The 22,176-nt window shown below is 44.4% G+C and overlaps 1 protein-coding gene across 5 annotated transcripts in view; it reads left to right on the forward strand.

The window, feature by feature from the left end:
- ZNF398 (zinc finger protein 398) overlaps positions 1 to 15,358 on the forward strand; it is a 56,635-nt gene extending 41,277 nt beyond the window's left edge. For all 5 annotated transcript variants that reach the window (NM_020781.4, XM_011516440.3, NM_170686.3 and 2 more), the window contains 2 exons: positions 8,784 to 8,897; positions 10,964 to 15,358. In NM_020781.4, the coding sequence (NP_065832.1) occupies positions 8,784 to 8,897; positions 10,964 to 12,117 (1,268 nt within the window). In that variant the 3' untranslated portion in view covers positions 12,118 to 15,358. The remainder of the gene's footprint in view (positions 1 to 8,783; positions 8,898 to 10,963) is intronic.
- The last annotated feature ends 6,818 nt before the right edge of the window (positions 15,359 to 22,176 follow it).

Consider the following 22,176-nt stretch of genomic DNA (forward strand, 5'->3'; position numbering starts at 1 on the left):
ACTGCAAGCTCCGTCTCCTGGGTTCACGCCACTCTCCTGCCTCAGGTTCCCAAGTAGCTGGGACTACAGGCGCCCGCCACCACGTCCGGATAATTTTTTCTATTTTTTAGTAGAGATGGGGTTTCACCATGTTAGCAAGGATGGTCTTGATCTCCTGACCTCGTGATCCACCCGCCTCGGCCTCCCAAAGTGCTGGGATTACAGGCCTGAGCCACCGCCACATTTATTTTTTTCTAACATTTTATTATGAAAATTTTCAATCAGAAAAGTTAAAATATTTTTATAGTGAACACCTGGATATCCAGCGCCTAAATTCTGCCACTAACATTATACCATCCTTCCTTATCATGCATATATCTATCACTGCATCACTCCATCCAGCCATCCGTCTATTATTTATTTATTTATTTTGGAGATGGAGTCTCACTCTGTCGCCCAGGCTGGAATGCAGTGGTGCGATCTTGGCTCACTGCAACCTCCACCTCCTGGATTAAAGTGATTCTCTGGCTCAGCCTCCTGAGTAGCTGGGATTACAGGTGCCCACCACCACGCCTGGCTAATTTTTGTATTTTTAGTAGAGACAGGGTTTCAGCATGTTGGCCAGACTGGTCTCGAACTCCTGACCTCAAGTGATCTGCCTGCCTTGGCCTACCAAAGTGCTGGGATTACAGGCATGAGCCACCGCACCCAGCCATCTATCCTATTTTTGATGTATTTCAAAATCAGTGAAGACATCAATGCATTTTCCTGTAAATAGTTCAGCATGAATATTATTAACCTAGAGTTCAATATTTGTTTTTTTCTTTTCAGGTAAATTTTACATATAATGAAATTTCAAGTCTTAATTGAGTTTTAAGCAATGTACACATCTGCCTCACATTTATTATTATTATTATTATTTTGAGATGGAGTCTCACTCTGTCGCCCAGGCTAGAGTGCAGTGGCGTGATCCTGGCTCACTGCAACCTCCGCCTTCCAGGCTCAAGTGATTCTCCAGCCTCAGCCTCCTGAGTAGCTGGGATTCCACGCCCGGCTAATTTTTGTGTTTTTAGTAGAGATGGGGTTTCACCATGTTGGCCAGGCTGGTCTTAAACTCCTGACTTCAAGTGATCCACCCGCCTTGGCTTCCCAAAGTGCTGGGATTACAGGAGTGAGCCACCACGCCCGGCCATATTATTTTTTAAGAATGTGTAGGTGATTGCATTTAGTCAGTGTAACACGTTGCATTTTACTAATCTTTATATCACAGATATAAGTAATGAGGCTAAAATAATACCACCAATAAAGATGAGTGACTTGACTACAGAAAGATTTCTTATTGGGTATATTTCTTTGGTCTACATTATTAGTTATCTGTCATAGACCTCAGCAAGTACAAATGAATATATCATTGTATTTTATGGGATGGGTGAAAAAGATAACAAGTAATTAGGTTTTGTGATAACGTATCAAAGTTTCATTTTGCTGTTATCTTGTCAGTTTGTTTTTACCATGGGTTTTCAAGATGCTCATGCCTCAACCCCCTGAGTAGCTGGGACTATAGGCATGTGCCACCATGCCCAGCTAATTTTTGTATTTTTAGTAACGATGGGGTTTTGCCATGTTGGCCAGGCCGGTCTTGAACTCCTGACCTCAGGTGACCCACCCACCTCGGCCTCCTAAATTGCTGGGATTACAGGCATGAGCCACCGTGCCTGGCCTGTTATTTTCTGTTGGTTGATCAAATTGTCAGCTTCACAATTTCTTTCGTTTGTTTGTTTGTTTTTAAGACAAGGTCTGGCTCTATTGCCCAGGCTAGAGTGCAGTGCCATGATCAGAGTGCAGTGCCATGATCTGAGATCAGTGCAGCCTGTGCCTCCTGGGCCCAAGCCATCCTCCCATCGCAGCCTCCCAAGTAGCTGGGACTACAGGCACACACCACCATGCCTGGCTAATTTTTGTATTTTCTGTGGAGATGGGGGTTTGCCATGTTGCCCGGGCTGGTTTTGAACTCGTGAACTCAAGTGATTCACCTGCTTCGGCCTTCCAAGGTGCTAGGGTTACAGGCCTGAGCCACCACACCCAACCTCAGTACTTGTTTTCTTAAAAAAAAATATGCTCCTGGCTCTGTTGGAGGGCCCAAAGACCACTCCCAGATTTCGTGATCTGCTAGGAGGACTCACAGGATTCCCATATGGTTGTACTCACAGCAAGATTTGTTAGAATGATACAAAGTAATATCAGCAAAGGGAAAAGGTACCTGGGACAAAGTCTGCAGGAAACCAGGGACAGGCTTCCCAGAGTCCTCTCCCAGTGGAGTCTTATAGGATATGCTTAATTGTTCCAGTAATGAGTTGTAACAACCAGAAAAGCTCATTAGAGACTCAGTGCCCAAGGTTTTTATTGGGGGCTAATCACATGCATACCCTCTGTCTAGCACTTACCCAAATTCCAGACTCATAGAAGGAAAGCACGTGTTCTGCATATACCACACTGTTTGACAAACACAATCATGCGCTGCTGAACAATGGGGATATCTTCTGAGAAATGCATCATTAGTTGATTTTGTCATTGTGCAGACATCACAGCGTGAACTCACACAAACTAGATGATGTAGCTTTCTATGTACCTAGGCTATATAGTATAGCCTATTGCTTCTAGGCTACAAACTTGTACAGCATATTATTGTCCTGAATACTGTAGGCCATTGTAACACAATGGTAATTGTGTTTGTAAACACATGTAAAGATAGGAAAGGTACAGCAAAAATCTGGTGTAAAAGATACAAAATGAGCTGGGCACAGTGGCTCATGCCTATAATCCCAGCACTTTGAGGCCAAGGCGGGTGGATCATGAGGTCAGGAGATAGAGACCATTCTGGCTGACACGGTGAAACCCTGTCTCTACTAAAAATCCAAAAAATTAGCCAGCCATGGTGGTGGGCGCCTGTAGTCCCAGCTACTCGGGAGGCCAAGGCAGGAGAATTGCTTGAACCCAGGATGCGGAGGTTGCAGTGAGCCGAGATTACACCACTGCACTCCAGCCTGGGCAACAGAGCGAGACTCCATCTCAAAAAAAAAAATACAAAATGGTACATCTCTATAGGGCACTTGCCATGAATGGAGCTTGCAGGACTGGAAGTTGTTCTCACTGAGTCAGTGAGTGAATGTGAAGGCCTAGGACATTACTAGGCTGTAGACTTTATAAACACTGTATACTTAGGCCACACTAAATTTATAGAAACATTTTTTCTTTTTTTTTTTTGAGCCTCCTGGGTTCAAGTGATTCTCCTGCCTCAGCCTCCTGAGTAGCTGGGACTGCAGGCACGTGCCACCACGCCCGGCTAATTTTTTTTTTTTTTTTTTTAGAAGAGATGGGGTTTCACCATGTTAACCAGGATGGTCTCGATCTGCTGACCTCATGATCCACCTACCTTGGCCTCCCGAAGTGCTGGGATTATAGGCATGAGCCACCGCGCCTGGCCAAGAAATTTTTTCTTTAACCATAAATTAACCTTAGCTTACTGTATTACTTTATAATACAGTAATATACTTATAATACTACTTTATAATATAGTAATATACTTTTATTATTTTATAACTTTCTGACTTTTGTAATAACACTTAGTGTAAAACATATTGTACATATATACAAAAATATTTTTTCTTTATACCCTTTTTCTATAACTTTTTCCTATTTTTAAATTTTTTTACTTATTTTTTTGAAATGAAGTCTTGCCCTGTCGCCCAGGCTGGATTGCAGTGGCGCAGTCTCCGCTCACTGCAACTTCTGCCTCCTGGGTTCAAGTGATTCTCCTGCCTCAGCCTCCCCAGTAGCTGGGATCACAGGCATGCTGCGCCCCCACGCCCGGCTAATTTTTGCATTTTTATTAGAGACGAGGTTTCACCATGTTGGCCAGGCTGGTCTCAAATTCCTGACCTCATGATCCACCCGCCTCTGACCTCATGATCCACCTGCCTCGGCCTCCCAAAGTGCTGGGATTTACTTTTTATTATTTATTTATTTTGAGATGGAATCTTGCTCTGTAGCCCAGGCTGGAGTGCAGTGGTGTGATCTTGGCTCACTGCAACCTCCGCCTCCCAGGTTCAAGTGATTCTCCTGCCTCAGCCTCCCAAATAGCCTGTAGGCTCAAACCACCACACCTGGCTAATTTTTTTATTTTTTTATAGAGATGGGGTATAGCCATGTTGCCCAGTGTGGTCTCAAACACCTGGACTTAAGTGATCTGCCTGCCTTGGCCTTCCAAAGTGCTAGGATTACAGATGTGAGCCACCATGCTCGACAGTGGCCTGTTTTTGACCAAAACACCATTATGCAGTGCATGACTCCATGTGTCTTGCTCAAAACTGTCCTTATATTCAGCACAAATATAAACCTTTGTACTACTATACAAATGTTACATGGTACGTGACTGCAGTTAGGTACAGCCAACCACTCATCATTTAGGGGAAGTTTTGTATCAGCATAGAGACTACATACAGTAGTCCCCCTTTATTGATGGTATCGTTTTCCACAGTTTGTTACCTGCCGTCAACTGTGATCTGAAAATATTAAATGGAAAATTCCAGAAATAATTTATAAGTTTTAAGTTTGCCATTCTGAGTAGTATGATGAAATCTTGCACTATCCTGCCCTGTCTCATCTGGGGCGTGAATCATCCCTTTGTCCAGTGCATCCACACTGTATACGCTACCTGGCCATTAGTCACTTAGAAGCTATGTCAACTGTGGCAGTATTGCAGTGCTTATGTTAAGTACCCCGCGCTCCCCCCCTTTTTAAAAATAAATAATTGCCCCAAACTGCAAAAGTAGTAATGGTGGCAATTCAGATGTATCAGAGAAGCCGTCAAGTGCTTCCTTTATGTGAAAAGGTGAAATTTCTTGACTTAATAAGGAAGGAAGGAAGTTACATGCTGAGGTTGCCAAGATCTCTGGTAAGAACAAATCTTCTATCTGTGAAACTGTGAAGAAAGTAAAAGAAATTTGTACTAGTGCTACTGTTGCACCTCAAACTGCAAAAGTTACGGCCACAGTGTGTGATAAATACTTAGTTAATATGGAAACAGCATTAAAGGCAAGTACAGGCATCTCCAGGATATTGTGGGTTCAGTTCCAGACTACTGCAATAAAGTGAATATCACAGTACAAGTAACAATAACTTTTGTTTTCCCAGTGCATGTGAAAGTTAAGTTTACACTATGCTATACAGTCTATTAAGTTGGCAATAAATTATGTCTAAAAAAACAATGTACATACCTTAATTTAAAAATATTGCTAAGAATCCTAACAATCATCTGAACCTTCAGAGTCATAATCTTTTTGCTAGTGGCGGGTCTTGCCTCAGTATTGATGGCTGCTGACTAATCCGGGTGGTGGTTGCTAAAGGTTGGGGTGGCTGTGGCAATTTCTATTTTTTTTTTTTTTTTTTTTTTTTTTTTTGAGACAGAGTCCTGCTCTGTCGCCCAGACTGGGGTGCAGTGGCACGATCTCGGCTCACTGCAACCTCCGACTCCTAGGTTCAAGCAATTCTCTTGCCCCGGCCTCCTGAGTAGCTGGGATTACAGGCGCCTACCACCATGCCTGGCTCATTTTTTTGTATTTTTAGTAGAGACGGGGTTTCGCCATGTTGGCCAGGTTGATCTCGAACTCCCGACCTCAGGTGATCCACCCGTCTCGGCCTCCCAAAGTTCTGGGATTACAAGCGTGAGCCACCATGCCTGGCTGAAATATGTTTATTTATTTTTTTGAGACAGAGTCTAGCTGTGTCACCCAGGCTGGAGTGCATTGATGCTGAAATAAATTTCTTATGCAATAAGACTTCAAAGTAAAAATTACTCCTTGATCTGCGGGGCTGTAGAATGGATGTTGTTTTACAGGGATGAAAACAACACTCATCTCCTTGTTCATCCCCATCAGAGCTTGTGGGTGACCAGGTGCGTTGTCAATGAGCACTAGTATTTTGAAAGGAATTTTTTCTTCTGAGCAGTAGTTCTGAACAGTGGGCTTAAAATATTCTGTAAACCGTGCTGTAACAGATGTGCTGTCATCCAGGCTTTGTTGTTCCATTTCTAGTGCACAGGCAGTGTAGATTTAGCATAATTCTTTTTTTTTTTTTTTTTTTTTTTTTGAGACACAGTTTGGCTCTTGTTGCCCAGGCAGGAGTGCAATGGCGCTATCTCGGCTCACCGCAACCTCCGCCTCCTGGGTTCAAGCGATTCTCCTGCCTCAGCCTCCTGGGCAGCTAGGAAATACAGGCATGCACCACCACGCCCAGCTAATTTTGTATTTTTAGTAGAGACAGGGTTTCTCCATGTTGGTCAGACTGGTCTCAAACTCCTGACCTCAGGTGATCCGCCCGCCTTGGCCTCCCAAAGTGCTAGGATTACAGGCGTGACCCACCATGCCCGGCCTGATGTAGCATAATTCTTAAGAGCCCTAGGGTTTTCAGAATACTAAAATGAACACCGGGTTCAAGTCACCAGCTGCATCAGCCTGTAACAAGAGAGTCAGCTTGTCCTTTGAAGCCAGACATTGACTTCTCTCTAGTTATGAAAGTCCCAGATGACATATTCTTCCAATAGAAAGTTGTTTCTCATACATGAAAATTTGTTGTTTAGTGTAGCCCCCTTCCTCAAGTAATTGTAGCTAGGCGCGTGCCACCACAGCCAACTAATTTTTGTATTTTTAGTAGAGACAGGGTTTTACCATGTTGGTCAGGGTGGTCTTGAACTCCTGACCTCGTGACCTGCCCACCTCAGCCTCCCAAAGTGCTGGGATTATGAGCGTGAGCCACTGTGCCCAGCCCATTCAGAAAATTTTTAAAAACAAGCAGGTAAGTGTTTTAAAAGTCAGGTTTTTTGGCTAGGCATGGTGGGTCATGCCTATAATCCCAGCACTTTGGGAGGTTGAGGCAGGTGGGTCACCTGAGCTCAGGAGTTGAAGAACAGCCTAAGCAACATAGTGAGACCCCATCTTTACCAAAAATACAAAAAATTAGCTGGGCATGGTGGCACACACCTGTGGTCCCAGCTACTAGGGAGACCGAGGTGGAATAATAGCTTGAGCCTGGGAGGCAGAGATTGCAGTAAGCCAAGATTACGCCACTGTAGTCCAGCCTGGGTGATAGAGTGAGACCCTGTCTCAAAAACAAACAAACAAACAAAAGTCAGATGTTTTGAATGGAAAGTTAATCCTCTGGATATCGGTTCAGAGGTTTTCTTCCTTATATCCAGTCTTTCCCCCCCTCTGCCTTTTTCCTTATAGATATGTATGTGTATAACATCTGGAAGAGAACAAAGATAAGATTGGACTATGTTTAATACACTTCAGCTTTTCTTTTAGGTCAGAACAGGAGGTTGGCAAGGCAACTGTTGCATATGCTAAAATCTATTTCCCAAATCGCTCCCCATAACCGATGGTCGTTTGGGCTTTCGTCTTACCCCAGCCTCTTATTTCTGCTTTGAGAACACCTTTAGATTTCAGTGGCGTCTAACTGATTTAGAAGACATTGGGTAAAGTAGTCAGTTCTGTTAATTTGCTGTGAATTAAACCATATTCTGCCCACAAGGCTGTGTTTGAGAAATAACTATAGAGAGCTTCAGGGGACTCTCTGGAGCTTGACAAGCTCTCTTGTCAGCTTGCCAACTTGTCCATTTAGTCCAAAAAAAAAAAAATAATAAAGCCATATAGGCCTAGGTTGTAATAGCTAGCACAGCTGTTTTGGTACTGATCAGATGAGGCATGTTGTGTGCAAAGCCGATATTGGCTGTGCACTTTTTCTTTCAGAAAGAACCCCCAAGACCTGAAGGACTTGCCAATACTATATTCTTCCCCCTCCCAGCATTTAGGAAACAATGACTTGTATCATTTAATAGACAAAGATAATATATCTCATAGAAAGAGCCCAGAATTGGGAATCTGAAAAGTGTGTTTCTAGGGAGTTGGATTCTGTGTCTATACTGAACTAACTTTGTAATTCTGGAAGTTGATTTGTTTTTTGTTTGTTTGTTTGTTTTGAAATGGAGTTTTTTTGCTCTTGTTGCCCAGGCTGGAGTGCAATGGTGCGATCTCGGCTCACTGCAGCCGCTGCCTCCCAGGTTCAAGCAATTCTCTTGCCTCAGTCTCCTGAGTAGCTGGGATTACAGGCGCCTGCCACCACGCCTGACTAATTTTTTTTATTTTTAGTAGAGACAGGGTTTTGCCACGTTGGTCAGGCTCATCTTGAACTCTTGACCTCAAATGATCCACTTGCCTCGGCCTCCCAAAGTTCTGGGCTTACACGCGTGAGTTACCACACCCATCCTGTATGCATTTTTTAAAAGGCTGGTTCTGTGTTATTGTTATAGTTATTTAGAAATAAATATTTGGGGCCGGGCGCGGTGGCTCAAGCCTGTAATCCCAGCACTTTGGGAGGCCAAGGTGGGCGGATCATGAGGTCAGGAGATCGAGACCATCCTGGCTAACACGGTGAAACCCCATCTCTACTAAAAACAAAAAAATTTAAAAAAAACTTAGCTGGGCGTGGTGGCAGGCGCCTGTAGTCCCAGCTACTCGGGAGGCTGAGGCAGCGGGGAGAATGGCTTGAACCTGGGAGGCGGAGCTTGCAGTGAGCCATCGTGCCACTGCACTCCAGCCTGGGTGACAGAGCGAGACTCTGTCTCAAAAAAAGAAAAAAAGAAAGGAAAAATATTTGGGGCAAAATATAGTGTTCAGCAAACCAACTTGATTATCTTACCTTCTTATTCAAGTTCATGAAGGCCATTTTTTTTTCCTCCCACAAATTAGAGCCTGGTATTTCAACATCAGATATTCTGTCTTGGATTAAACAAGAAGAAGAGCCTCAGGTTGGGGCCCCACCGGAGTCCAAGGAGAGTGACGTGTACAAAAGCACTTATGCTGGTGAGTATGAAATTAAAGAGGTGTTCATGTCCATATCCAGCTCATGCCAGGACTGACTGAAGAAACAGCAGGTGAAATTTGTAGAGGCAAATATGTGGGAGAAGAATGAGGGAAAGAAAAAGCCATGCTCAACATTATGAATGAAACCAAACAGTCACTAAGATAAATTTGAAGTGAGTGAGAAAATACACTCTTACATGCAAAGACAAATGAGAATTGTCAGAAGAAGAAAAACAAGTGCATACAGACGAACCAAAATTATGGGGATGGGGAAAGACAGAAGACGATTTGAAAATCATGTAGAAAGGGTAGAAAACGTGGGAGTGGGGTGGGGAGACAAGCCCTGGAGACAGAAATGGCCATGGAGAGGTGTAAATGGGAATGTTAATTAAGAGCCCTCCCTCAGTGAAAGGAAAATCAATGATGGGAGAAGAAATATAAGTATCTTCCTTCTAAGATACTTTTGCCATTTGTATTGTAGAAGAGAATCTCAAGATCAGAAGGGTCCCAGTCATTTATACAGCTTAATGCATTCTGTTTTTTTTTTAGTATTTTCTGTGCTCTGTGTTCTTTTAGACTGGGAAACACAAATGAAACATAAGATAGTTTTAGCTCTTGAAAAAACTTATGCTAGGGACATACATATCAGTACTAGGCAAGCCTGTTAAGTGTCAAGGATGAGTGGGGTGGACGACTTATATAAATGAATGAGAAGTTTCAGGAACATGCATCAGGTTTGGCTTGGTGACTCGTGCCTGTAAGCCCAGCATTTTGGGAGGAGGTTGAGGCAGGTGGATCACTCGAGCCCAGGAGTTCAAGACCAGCCTGGGTAACATAGGGAGACCCTGTCTCTAAAAAAAAGGAAAATATGCATCAGTTTTAGTTTAGGTATTTAGATAAGACCTAAAGAAGGGCATAAAGCCACAATTGTACCTTAAAAGATTGGTATGATATGGCTGGGTATAATTTGGAAAGATGGGGAGAGAGGGGTAGCATTCTACAAAAGGGAGGACAGAGTAAGTCAAGATGCATAGCAGAAATGTATACTCTGTTCTCAGGGGAAGTAAAGAGACAGCTGACCACAGTGATGGGTTGATCTGATAGAATACAGAGAAATAGGAATAGATAATTATGTGATTTTAGGCTTTGTCACAACAGGCAATAGAGAAAGTTCTTGAGTAGAGGTAAAATATAGTGAAAGTAACGTTGGGAAGATTGATGCCAAGGATTTTCTGTTTCTTAACAGATAGCATAGAAGAGGTACAGTGTTAAATTTTCTGATGAGGGCTGGGTGTGGTGGCTCATGCCTGTAATCCCAGCACTTTGGGAGGCTGAGGCAGGTGGATTACTTGACACCAGGAGTTCGAGACCCCTGGTCAATATGGCAAAACCCCATCTCTACTAAAAATATAAAAATTACCTGAGCACAGCTGGACGCGGTGGCTCATGCCTGTAATCCCAGCACTTTGGGAGGCCGAGGTGGGTGGACCATGAGGTCAGGAGATCGAGACCATCCTGGCTAACACAGTGAAACCCTGTCTCTACTAAAAAGACAAAAAAATTAGTTGGGCGTAGTGGCGGGTGCCTGTAGTCCCAGCTACTCGGGAGGCTGAGGCAGGAGAATGGCGTGAACCCGGGAGGCGGAGCTTGCATTGAGCCGAGTTTGTGCCACTGCACTCCAGCCTGGGCGACAGAGCGAGACTCCGTCTCAAAAAAAAAAAATTACCTGAGCACGGTAGTGCATGCCTGTAATCCCAGCTACTCAGGAGGCTAAGGCAGGAGAATCACTTGAACCCAGGTAGTGGAGGCTGCAGTGAGCTGAGGTCACGCCACTGTACTCCATCGTGGGCAACAGAATGTGATCCTGTCATAAAATAAATTTAAAGTGTCATTTCATTTCTCTGATGATTTGCCACAGAGACCACAGATGTCTCGGTTATTATTGCAGCCTTCTGCTGTATTTCTGATCTGAGCTTCGAGTGATCTGTTAGAGCTGGGTAGGAATGCATGAGAGTTGCTAGTGAGACAGTTATTGATGGGTATAACTCTGGAGTCTTTTCTTTCAGATGAAGAGCTTGTCATCAAAGCTGAAGGCCTTGCTAGATCCTCGTTGTGCCCTGAGGTTCCAGTCCCTTTCTCTTCTCCACCAGCAGCAGCAAAGGATGCTTTTTCAGATGTGGCTTTCAAAAGCCAGCAGTCTACATCCATGACACCTTTTGGACGTCCAGCCACTGACCTGCCTGAAGCCTCTGAGGGACAAGTGACTTTTACTCAGTTGGGTAGCTATCCCCTCCCACCTCCAGTTGGCGAGCAGGTGTTCTCATGCCACCACTGTGGCAAGAATCTCAGCCAAGACATGTTGCTGACCCACCAATGTAGCCATGCTACTGAGCACCCCTTACCCTGTGCCCAGTGCCCTAAGCACTTTACTCCACAGGCGGACCTCAGCAGCACCTCCCAGGACCATGCCAGCGAGACACCCCCCACCTGCCCACACTGTGCCAGGACTTTTACTCACCCATCAAGACTTACCTACCATCTTCGGGTCCATAACAGCACTGAGCGTCCTTTCCCCTGTCCTGATTGCCCCAAGCGCTTTGCTGACCAGGCTCGACTCACCAGCCACCGGAGAGCTCATGCAAGCGAAAGGCCCTTCCGCTGTGCCCAGTGCGGCAGGAGCTTCAGCTTGAAAATCAGCCTCCTGCTCCACCAGCGGGGTCATGCACAAGAGCGCCCTTTCTCCTGCCCTCAGTGTGGCATTGACTTCAACGGCCACTCGGCCCTGATCCGCCACCAGATGATCCACACAGGCGAGCGTCCTTACCCCTGCACTGACTGCAGTAAGAGCTTCATGCGCAAGGAGCACCTGCTGAACCACCGGCGGCTGCACACAGGCGAGCGGCCCTTCAGTTGTCCTCACTGTGGCAAGAGCTTCATCCGCAAGCACCACCTAATGAAACACCAGCGCATCCACACCGGGGAGCGGCCCTACCCCTGCTCCTACTGTGGCAGGAGCTTCCGCTACAAACAGACACTCAAGGACCACCTCCGTTCAGGCCACAATGGAGGCTGTGGGGGTGATAGTGACCCATCAGGTCAGCCACCCAACCCACCAGGTCCCCTCATAACTGGGCTTGAAACTTCTGGCCTGGGTGTCAACACTGAAGGTCTAGAGACCAACCAGTGGTATGGGGAAGGGAGTGGAGGGGGAGTTTTGTAAATCCAAATCTCTGTGGCTTCATGCTTGTATATGCTCACAGCAGGGCACAAAATCCAAGAGAAGGTCTGTGAGCCCCATCCAACACCCACAGTAATTATTATCTGGCACATCAATGAATTTGGGGTCCTATACACTTGACTAGAGACATGCTTGTGTTTTGGAATTTCACACCCTTACAAGAATACCACATTTTGAAACCCAGAAAGACCTGGAAAGGAGCCCAGCATGTCCATCTTTTCAAAGATACAACAAAAGCAGAAGTTACAAGAATATTGCGGAGAGGTTGGAAAGCAGGATTTAACCTCTAGTTCTCTTGTTCTCAGAGAACAGCAGGTTGATAGTAGATTATGTCTCTAGGTAGAGACAGATACATGAGAAGAGCCTCCAAAACTGGAAGCCCATCATAAGGCATGAGAATGTTTAACTATAAAGCCTTTTATTAGTTCTTTGATAGCTAAGATGGTTGTTGGAGAAAGTGCTTAAGCCACTGTTTATGTTGCTGCCTCCTCTCTCAAAACCAGCCAAGATCTGTTCACACACCTCTGTGGCTGTCTTTCCCTGAAACATGGTAACTCAAGACTGCCTGCCTAGGTTTCTTAGATTAATTATTCACATAAATTTTGTTTAATATTGGTTGAACAAGAAATCTGACTTTAAAAGATTATTAAGGAGAATATTCCTTAACTATACTGGCTTGATTTGAAACAGGCTCTTATTGCCATTTAAACTGCCAGAAATCTTTGCCAAGGTCCTGGTTAAAAAAATTGGAAACGGTTTTCTTAGCCCCAGCTTTAAAAGCTAGAGATCTCAGAGAAATAGCTGGCTTAACAATGACAGAACAGCTTAAAATTTGTGCCTACACCATGTTCTGAGAGTCGTTCACATCAAATTCTTATCTTTTCCAAGCCAGTAAGTTGGCTTCTCCATTCCTGGTGTCTGATATTCTTGACAATCATCAGCAACAAAGATCACAGCACTTTCCAGAAGCATGGAGCTTCAGAAAGTGCCAGTGAACTCTTGGTCCTCAGTAGTGAGATGATAACAGTGTTATAATGCAGCTTCCTTGAGCCATCAGAGAGAGTGTATGTTCACCCTATCTGGCTGTATCCCATTGGCAGTGGACAGATTGAGGAAATTCCTAGATCACTGAGAGCTAAGCACCATGCATAGACAACAGTTTGTTCTTGCCTGTGTTGCTTTTAGGGACTTTGACTACCACATGTTCTTTTCTTGGGGTGATTTAATCACCTGGGAGCATCTGAGTCTGCTCCTAAGTGGCTTTGCAACTGGGCCTAAGTTCTGTTTCCTTTATGGATCTCAAATTTTCATCTGCACAATGAGGCTGTTGAAAGGAAAAAAAGTGAGCCTCTAGGAATTATTCAAAAAAAGTCTGTGATACATTCCTTTTCCTGCCAAAGTTCTGTCTCTGTCTTTGGCTTCTGTCCAGGCAAAGCTAAATAAGACAGCAAAGTCAAAGCAGATAAATTCTTGTTGAAACTTGACTAAAATTTATTTGATTTGTTGTTTTACTCCCACTTGGAATCCTGAGGTAGAAGACAGAATGCAGAAGTCTTACATCTTGGGCAGGAAACTGGTTTATTCCTATACTCTTGTTTCCTCTGCTTCTTCCTGAGGTCTAGAACAAGGTCTGGAAATGTTTAGACAGGATATTTTCTTGATGAAGTGATAAGGAAAGGACCCATTTTTTTGCTCATCACCTAGCCCATCCTTCACTCTCTCTAGTTATGCATAACAACACTAGAAGAAGGTGTTAGCCCAGCTAACTTTGCTTCTGGGAAGGCTATGTCTGAACATGTTGCTCTGTAGGATAATCACACTTAGAAAACATCTGCTCCATGACATTCACAATACCAGGGACCATGGGAGACACAAGAAATGTGTGTCTGCTGTCATAACTTACAGTGAAAAAGCCCAATAATACAGAACAAGACATGATGGGCAATACCCTAGCATATTGGGATTAAGAGCTTTCTAGCCAGAATCTGGACCTATACCATGGGAAAATTTAGGGGTGCTGGGAATCCCAAAGCCAAGGTTCTGGCTTCATTGGCAACCCACTAGGAACTTGAATGTGAGATTCAGCTCTAGTTTGCACCTTGATTTCCCCAGTGAAAAGGGAGAAGAGCCAAAGTATTGTCTAGGTGCTGAGTTCCCTTTTCTGAGTGGATTTCAAGCATTTGCCAGGGTATGCTGGAGGAGGGACTCCTAAAGTAGGTGAGATGTGGGACTAGGTAACACTTTAAATACTTTTTTACTCAAAGATTTGCCAAGAACACAGCTTATTAGTGAAAGAGACCTGTGGATTGAAATGGCTGCAGATAGATCCCGCAGTCCCTTCTGAAAGGAACTGTGTAGCCAGCAGGGACCTAAACTTTGGCAAAAAGTGAACACAATTCAAATACGAATGAAGGAAGAGCCCTCAGATGGAACGAAAGGCGATGTGCAAGGCCATCCCAGAGAGACGGAAGCAGGTGCGATACTAAGCCTCAGCCCAAGAATAAAAGAGAGTTCAACTGTTACTCTTTTCTTTCATCAATCCCCTATCAGTTAGAACTGCAGGCCAGTTCCAAAGAGTGTTTGCTTAAGATTCAAAAGTGGGTAAGTAAAATGGATCAGTGGGAAGGATAAGGTGTCCAACAGAAAGTGTGGAGGAGAAACTCTTGGCCTATCAAGTGCTCCTGAGAGAAACCATGCAATTTAACACTTCAGTTAAAGAAATACATGAGAACTGCTTGTCATGACCAGACAAGATAGGAAAGGGGAAACCCCAGAAACGTGCTCTTCATCTGTCAGCCTTTTGGACCAAGAAGCTGTCACTATCACACATAAGCACCATTCCCTTAGAGTGGATCCAGGTGTTGACTATAACCAGATTTACTCTTTGCTTACTAGGTTTTCCATTGTCACCATTGGATGAACCTCTGGTTTAGCCACAGTTGTGAAAATAAATGGAAGTTGGTTGATTGTCTAGAAAGTGCAAGAAGATGGCCCTGCTCCTTTTCTGCTGAACATTTAGTATTGGAAACTCCTACTTCCCTTTTCATTAATAATGTGTGCAAGTTTCCTATTAGCGGGGAAGGTGTGGGGCTCTGCTGGGCTTCTCTTGAGCATATCTGAGAAGTGATGTTCATGTCTATCTCAACCAGGACCAGACCCTGTGACTTACTCGGTAATAACAGTCCACACAAGCCTCGTTGATATTAAAAAAAAAAAAAAAAAAGGACCTCATTCCAAATGGAATGGGAATCCCTAATTTCTGCTCAGATTTTCTCTGAGGAGGGGCAGGACTCCTGCCCTTCCTCTCATGTCTTAGCTTCTTAAACTACAAAAAGCATCCTCAGTGACTGCCTGAGGGCAGCTCAGTAGCCATGAACAAAAGCATCTTTCTTTCTCAAAAATATTTTCTTACGGACAAGGACCTCTGATGTCACCAAATATGTTTTTTTTTTTCTTTCTTTGTGCCTGATTTTTTTTTTTTTTTTTGAGACGGAGTCTTGCTCTGTTGCCCAGGCTGGAGTGCAGTGGCACGGTCTCGGCTCACTGCACTCCGCCTCCTGGGTTCACGCCATTCTGCCTCAGCCTCCTGAGTAGCTGGGACTACAGGCGCCCGCCACCACGCCCGGCTAATTTTTTGTATTTTTAGTAGAGATGGGGTTTCACCGTGTTAGCCAGGATGGTCCCGATCTCCTGAGTTTGTGATCCACCCTCCTCGGCCTCCCAAAGTGCTGGGATTACAGGCATGAGCCACCGCGCCCGGCAACCTGATTGATATTTCTAACCCTGTTCTCTTTAGTCTTGGTTTTTTGTTTGTTTTTGCTGAAAAATTGTTTTTAGAGAAGTCTCACTGTATTGCTGTGTTGCTTAGGCTGGTCTTGAACTCCTAAGTTCAAGTGATCCTCCTGCCAAGGCCTCCCAAAGAGCTGAGATTATAGGTGTGAGCCTCCTTGCCTGGCCTAGCTCCAGTTCTTTATCTGTAGCAAAGGAGCAGTCATTTCTCACAGGGTTTATACACAGAGGCTGTTCTTTGGTTTTGGTTTTGGTTTTTGAGACGGAGTCTGGCTCTGTGGCCCAGGCTGGAGTGCAGTGGCACGATCTCGGCTTACTGCAACCTCTGCCTCCTGGCTTCAAGTGATTGTCCTGCCTCAGCTTCCGAGTAACTGGGATTACAGGTGCACACCACCACAACTAGCTAATTTTTGTATTTTCAGTAGAGATGGAGTTTCACCATGTTGGTCAGGCTGGTCTGGAACTCCTGACCTTGTGATCTGCCTGCCTTGGCCTCCCAAAGTACTGGGATTACCGTGCCTGGTCCGTTCTTTGTTTTAAAATGTTTCAGACTCTTACAAGCAAAAGATACTCAAGTTAGATCAAATTGGTGGGGGCAGGGAGTGTGCAGGGCCTTAACAACAATACATCATGTATGTTAGTACAGCTTAATGGTTATGAGCAGGGACTCTGGAGTCCTCGATTCAAGTCCTGACATCGTAAGTAAGATAACTGATGTATTATTTAACCATCCTGAGCCTTAGTTTCCTTATCTATAGGATAGGGATAATAATACCTGTGTCTCAGAGGTGTTAAGGCTCAAGGGGAAACCTATGTAGTATGTAACACAGGACGCTCACAGGAGGTGTTCAGTATATCGGCTATCAGATTTTACAGGACCAACCAGACGGGGGGTCATAAAGCTGGGCTGAATTTGAAGTGAATTTGCCAAAAACGGAGGCTGCTCTGCAGAAGTATCATGGGCCAGAGCATATTGTTTCTTGCAGAAAACAATATGGAAGGTTCTGTGTATGTATCTAGAAGGTTAGGTTTATGTATCTTGCAGGAGTCATTTGTCACTTTCTAGGATGTTATTCCTTCTGGCTTTGTTTTAGTTTCTTTTTAAATGAGTAACTGGCCACAATCATGTATACACACATTCACAATGACTTTTCTCAACTTGGTCAATTAAATTGCCTCTTCAAAAAAAAAAAAAAAAAATTTACCCTTAAGACCAACCTCCTGGCCGGGTGTGGTGGCTCACACCTGTAATCCCAGCACTTTGGGAGGCCGAGGCGGGTGGATCATGAGGTCAGGAGATCGAGACCATCCTGGCTAACACTGTGAAACCCCGTCTCTACTAAAAAATAGAAAAAATTAGCCGGGTGTGGTGGTGGGCGCCTGTAGTCTCAGCTACTCAGGAGGCTGAGGCAGGAGAATGGCGTGAACCCGGGAGGCAGAGCTTGCAGTGAGCCTAGATCGCGCCACTGCACTCCAGCCTGGGCAACAGAGCGAGACTCTTGTCTCAAAAAAAAAAAAGGAGACCATCCTCCCATCAAAGAAGGCAGATATTCCAGCCCAGAGATGCCTCAAAAACAGTGTCCTGCAATGCTCTCAAAAATTCCCAGGTTACATTTCAAATAAAATACTTGATAAAGGCCGGGCATGGTGGCTCATGCCTGTAATCCCAGCACTTTGGGAGGCTGAGGCGGGCGGATCACCTGAGGTCAGGAGTTTGAGACCAGCCTGGCCAACATGGCAAAACCCCATCTCTGCTAAAAAGACAATTAGTTGGGCGTGGTGGTGGGTGCCTGTAATTCCAGCTACTCGGGAGTCTGAGGCAGGAGAATCACTTGAACCCTGGAGGTGGAAGTTGCAGTGAGCCGAGATTGCGGCACTGTACACCAGCCTGGGTGACAAGGGTGAAACTCCATCTCAAAAAAAAAAATCCATAAAATAATAAAACCTCATTGAGCTATGTGGCTTTATGTTTACTAGCAAAGCTAGTATTTACTGTAAAATCTTAAAACTGGTCTAAAACTTAAGCTACCCAAGAACAGAGGCCATGTATTATTTTGTATTCCTCATGATGCCACATGCTGTTAGGCACATGGTTGCTCAATGAATGATCATATAGTATGAAGACCACCAGAAGTAGGAGTTAAAAAGTGGATGATGGTCCTTGCTTAACATTCTCTACTTGTATGGGGCAAACTACCTAATTTACAAAGATGTTATTTTCCTCTCTCTAATGTGAAGATTGAACAACATGGTAATATAAGTTCCTTTATTCTGGAGTAGGATTGCCAGAATTGGGGAAAAGGCCCTTCAATTACAAAATTACAGAATTTAAGATTTTACTTTTGGGTCCTGTTCCCTTGTCTGGTTTCTTCCTAGATTCTGCCCTATTGAGTGATTGTTCTGCAAAGCAGTATAAACACCTTGGAGAGGTATGCGTTTTTACAGACTAAAGAGTCTCATTCTATCCATATTATAACTCCAAAGCTACACAAACTGAAAAAGTTCTAGCAAAAGTATAACATTTTGTTTTAAATATGAAGTATATATTTAATTCACTTTTTCAAAACATAGGAAAACAGTAATTCTTTTGCTAGGGTGCTAGGGTAATTCAATGATTGCTTTTCCCTATAAATTTTGTGTAACGTAAAGCTCTTTGTGGAAACCTTTTTTTTTTTTTTTTTGAGATGGAGTCTCTTTCTGTTGTCCATGCTAGAGTGCAGTGGCCCAATCTTGGCTCGTTGCAACCTCTGGCTCCCAGCTTCAAGCAATTCTCCTGCCTCAGCCTCCCAAGTAGCTGGGATAACAGGCGCCTGCCACCATGCCCAGCTAATTTTTGTATTTTTAGTAGAGATGGGGTTTCACCATGTTGGCCAGGCCGATCTCCTGACCTCAAATAATCCACTTGTCTTGGCCTCCCAAAGTAGTGGGATTACAGCCACCAAGCCCAGCTGAGTGGTTTTTTTTTTTTTTTTTTTTTTTTTTTTTTGAGACGGAGTCTCACTCTGTCCCCCAGGCTGGAGTGCAGTGGCACGATCTCAGCTCACTGCAGTCTCCCAGGCTGGAGTGCGGTGGCGTGGTTTCGGCTCACTGCAACCTCTGCCTCCTGGGTTCAAGAGATTGTCCTGCCTCAGCTTCCCGAGTAGCTGGGACTACAGGCGACACCACACCCAGCTAATTTTTTATTTTTAGTAGAGACAGGGTTTTACCATGTTGGCTAGGCTAGTCCTGAATTCCTGACCTCAGGTGATCCGCCCGCCTCGGCCTCCCAAAGTGCTGGGATTACAGGAGTGAGCCACCGCGCCCGGCCCGCGTAAAGCATTTTTAATGTTTTTGTAAGAATAAGGATTATTGTCATGAAAAAGGTCCTGGAAAACAAGTCAGGAGGCCAGAGTTTTAACCTTGCTTTCAGTTTTCTCATTCATAATGTGAGGATAATACCTAGTTTACGAAGGTGTTGTGAAGATCAAATGAGGAAAGTTTTTTTTTTTTTTTGAGATGGAGTCTTGCTCTGTCACCCAGGCTGGAGTGCAGTGGTGCGATCTCAGCTCACTGCAACCTCTGCCTCCGGGGTTCAAGCGATTCTCCTGCCTCAGCCTCCTGTGTAGCTGGGAATACAGGCGTGCACACCCCCACCACCCCCGGCTAATTTTTGTATTTTTAGTAGAGAGGGGGTTTCACGGTGTTGGTCAGGCTGGTCCTGAACTCCTGACCTCGTGATCCGCCCTCCTCGGCCTCCCAAAGTGGTGGGATTACAGGTGTGAGCCACCGCACCTGGCAGGAAAGATTTTAAAGTGCTTTGAAGTCTATATGTCAAACATAAGAAGACAGTGTTGATATAGTAGTTGCAGGAGAATTACTTTGTTAACCAGTTAAACAATATCATGGGTCATATTGATGTTTCTCTTCATTCAAGACTGGGCGGAGGCTGGGTGTGATGGCTCACTCATGTTATCCCACCACTTTGGGAGGCCAAGGCAGGAGGATCACTTGAGCCCAGGAGTTTGAGACCAGCCTGAGCAACATAGTGAGACCCCCGTCTCTACCAAAAAATTTTTTAAAAGCTGGGTGTGGTGGCACATGCCTGTAGTCTCAGCTACTTGGAGGCTGAGGTGGGAGAATCCCTTCAGCCCGGGAGGTTGAGGCTGCAGTGAGCCATGATTGCGCCACTGCACTCCAGCCTGGGTGACAGAGTGAGACCTTGTCGCAAAAAAAAAAAAAAAAAAAAAGCAGTAGTTTGTTTCCAATTTGCTTGCCTATGATGAGGAGAAGCTAGCCCAATATTGCAATTTGGGGAGCAATGGGAGAAGTGGAAGTATGGACAGAGATGAAAAAATGTAATGCCAAAAAATTAGTTTTACATGTATAGTGTGTTTAGCTCTGGCAGCAACTTTTGTAAGATAACCACTTGTATGTATAGTAAGAATTAGAACATCAGGAAGGCAGGCACGTTACTAGAGAGAGTTGACTAAACAAGCAGGATTCCACATTAAGGATGTACATCAATCTGTGTACATCAGGTCAGTTCTTGGCCTTGAGTTCATAATTTTAAAAAATTGTATAAGACAATACCTACAAGCCACCCTTAGTGATTAAAGAGCAGGATAAAAACAAGAATAATTACACCAATCATATTTATGTTATTAGCCAAGAAAGTAGTCATTTAGGGTGTTTATTTTTCCAGATGATCTTGTGGGGCTGAGACAAGGAGATGAGGAGTAGGAGGAAGATTCTGTTGCACTAGTTGTTTTTGGCTGAACTTTACAATAACCTGGGGAGCTTAAAAAAATATTTATGCCAAGGCCCGCCATGGTATGATTTAATTGGTGTGCGATAAGACCTGGATGTTTTGTTTTTTAGAGTTCCCCCAAGTGGTTTTAATGTGCCTGCAAGGTACAGAAGATCAGAGAAAGTGAATTATTGGACTGGAAATGGCTACTTAGCCTGCTTTACTGGAGCAGGGAGCTGTGGATTGGAGATTAATAAAGGGTCTTTGAATCCACAATGGGAAGTCATAATTTGATTCTAGAAGCAGGACTCAGAAGGATATAAAGCTATGGGAATGGTGGTTGAAAAAGTTCTGACCTCAATAGTTAGGAGCTCTAGAGTCAGTGGGAAAAGCAGCATTCACTTCAGGCTGCAGAGCTGTGTCCAGAGCCTGTGATTAAAAAAAGTTGGCGGGACTGGGGGAGCACAGATGAGACTGGTACCCTATGCCTATGCTGTATACCTAACTAACTTCCAGAATGGTGAGGCTAGTGCCTCCTTATAAGAGCAGTTTAGTGAAGAACAAGAAGAGACTTTAGTGACATCCTTACCAACTTGGATTTAACAATAACACATTTTTTTTTTGTTATTGTCGTTTTTTTTGTTTTGAGACGGAGTCTCACTCTGTGGACCAGGCTGGAGTGCACTGGCGCGATCTTGGCTCACTGCAAGCTCCGCCTTTCGGGTTTGCGTCATTCTCTGCCTCAGCCTCCGGAGTAGCTGGGACTACAGGCGCCTGGCTATTTATTTTATTTTATTTTATTTATTTGTATTTTTAGTAAAGACAGACGTGGTTTCACTGTGTTAGCCAGGATGGTCTCTATCTCCTGACCTGGTGATCCGCCTGCCTCAGCCTCCCAAAGTGTTGGGATTACAGGCTTGAGTCACCGCGCCCGGCCAACACTTGGTTTTAATGCCTTATTTTTGAATTTGGAAGAACTAGGATGTTTCTGTATAAGCACTAGACTTTATTTTACATGAATTTCGGCCATTAGTAGTAATCAAATCTGCACTTGAAAGGTTGCTGGATGCGGTGGCTCATGCCTGTAATCCCAGCACTTTGAGAGGCTGAGGTGGATCACTTGAGGTCAGGAGTTCGAGACTAGCCTGGCCAACATGGTGAAACCCCGTCTCTACTAAAAATACAAAAATTAGCCGGGGATGGCGGCGCATGCCTGTAATCCCAGCTACTTGGGAGGCTGAGGCAGGAGAATCACTTGAACCCAGGAGGCAGAAGTTGCAGTGAGGAGATCGCACCACTGCACTCCAGCCTGGGCAACAGAGCCAGACTCAGTCTCAAGGAAAAAAAAAAAAAAAAAGTTGAAATCGAAAGGTTGTCTACTGAGGAGATTCAAGAGAACATATAGCAATTACCAACATAAAACCTGTCATCTGCATAAAGAGTTTCTAAGCCCTAGGTGTCTGTTGTGTTAGTATGTTAGTAGCATACTCAGTTACCTGAGCAGTGGAGAGATACCATGGAGTCAC

Source organism: Homo sapiens, chromosome 7 (genome assembly GCF_000001405.40).
Source record: "Homo sapiens chromosome 7, GRCh38.p14 Primary Assembly".
NCBI lineage: Eukaryota > Metazoa > Chordata > Mammalia > Primates > Hominidae > Homo > Homo sapiens.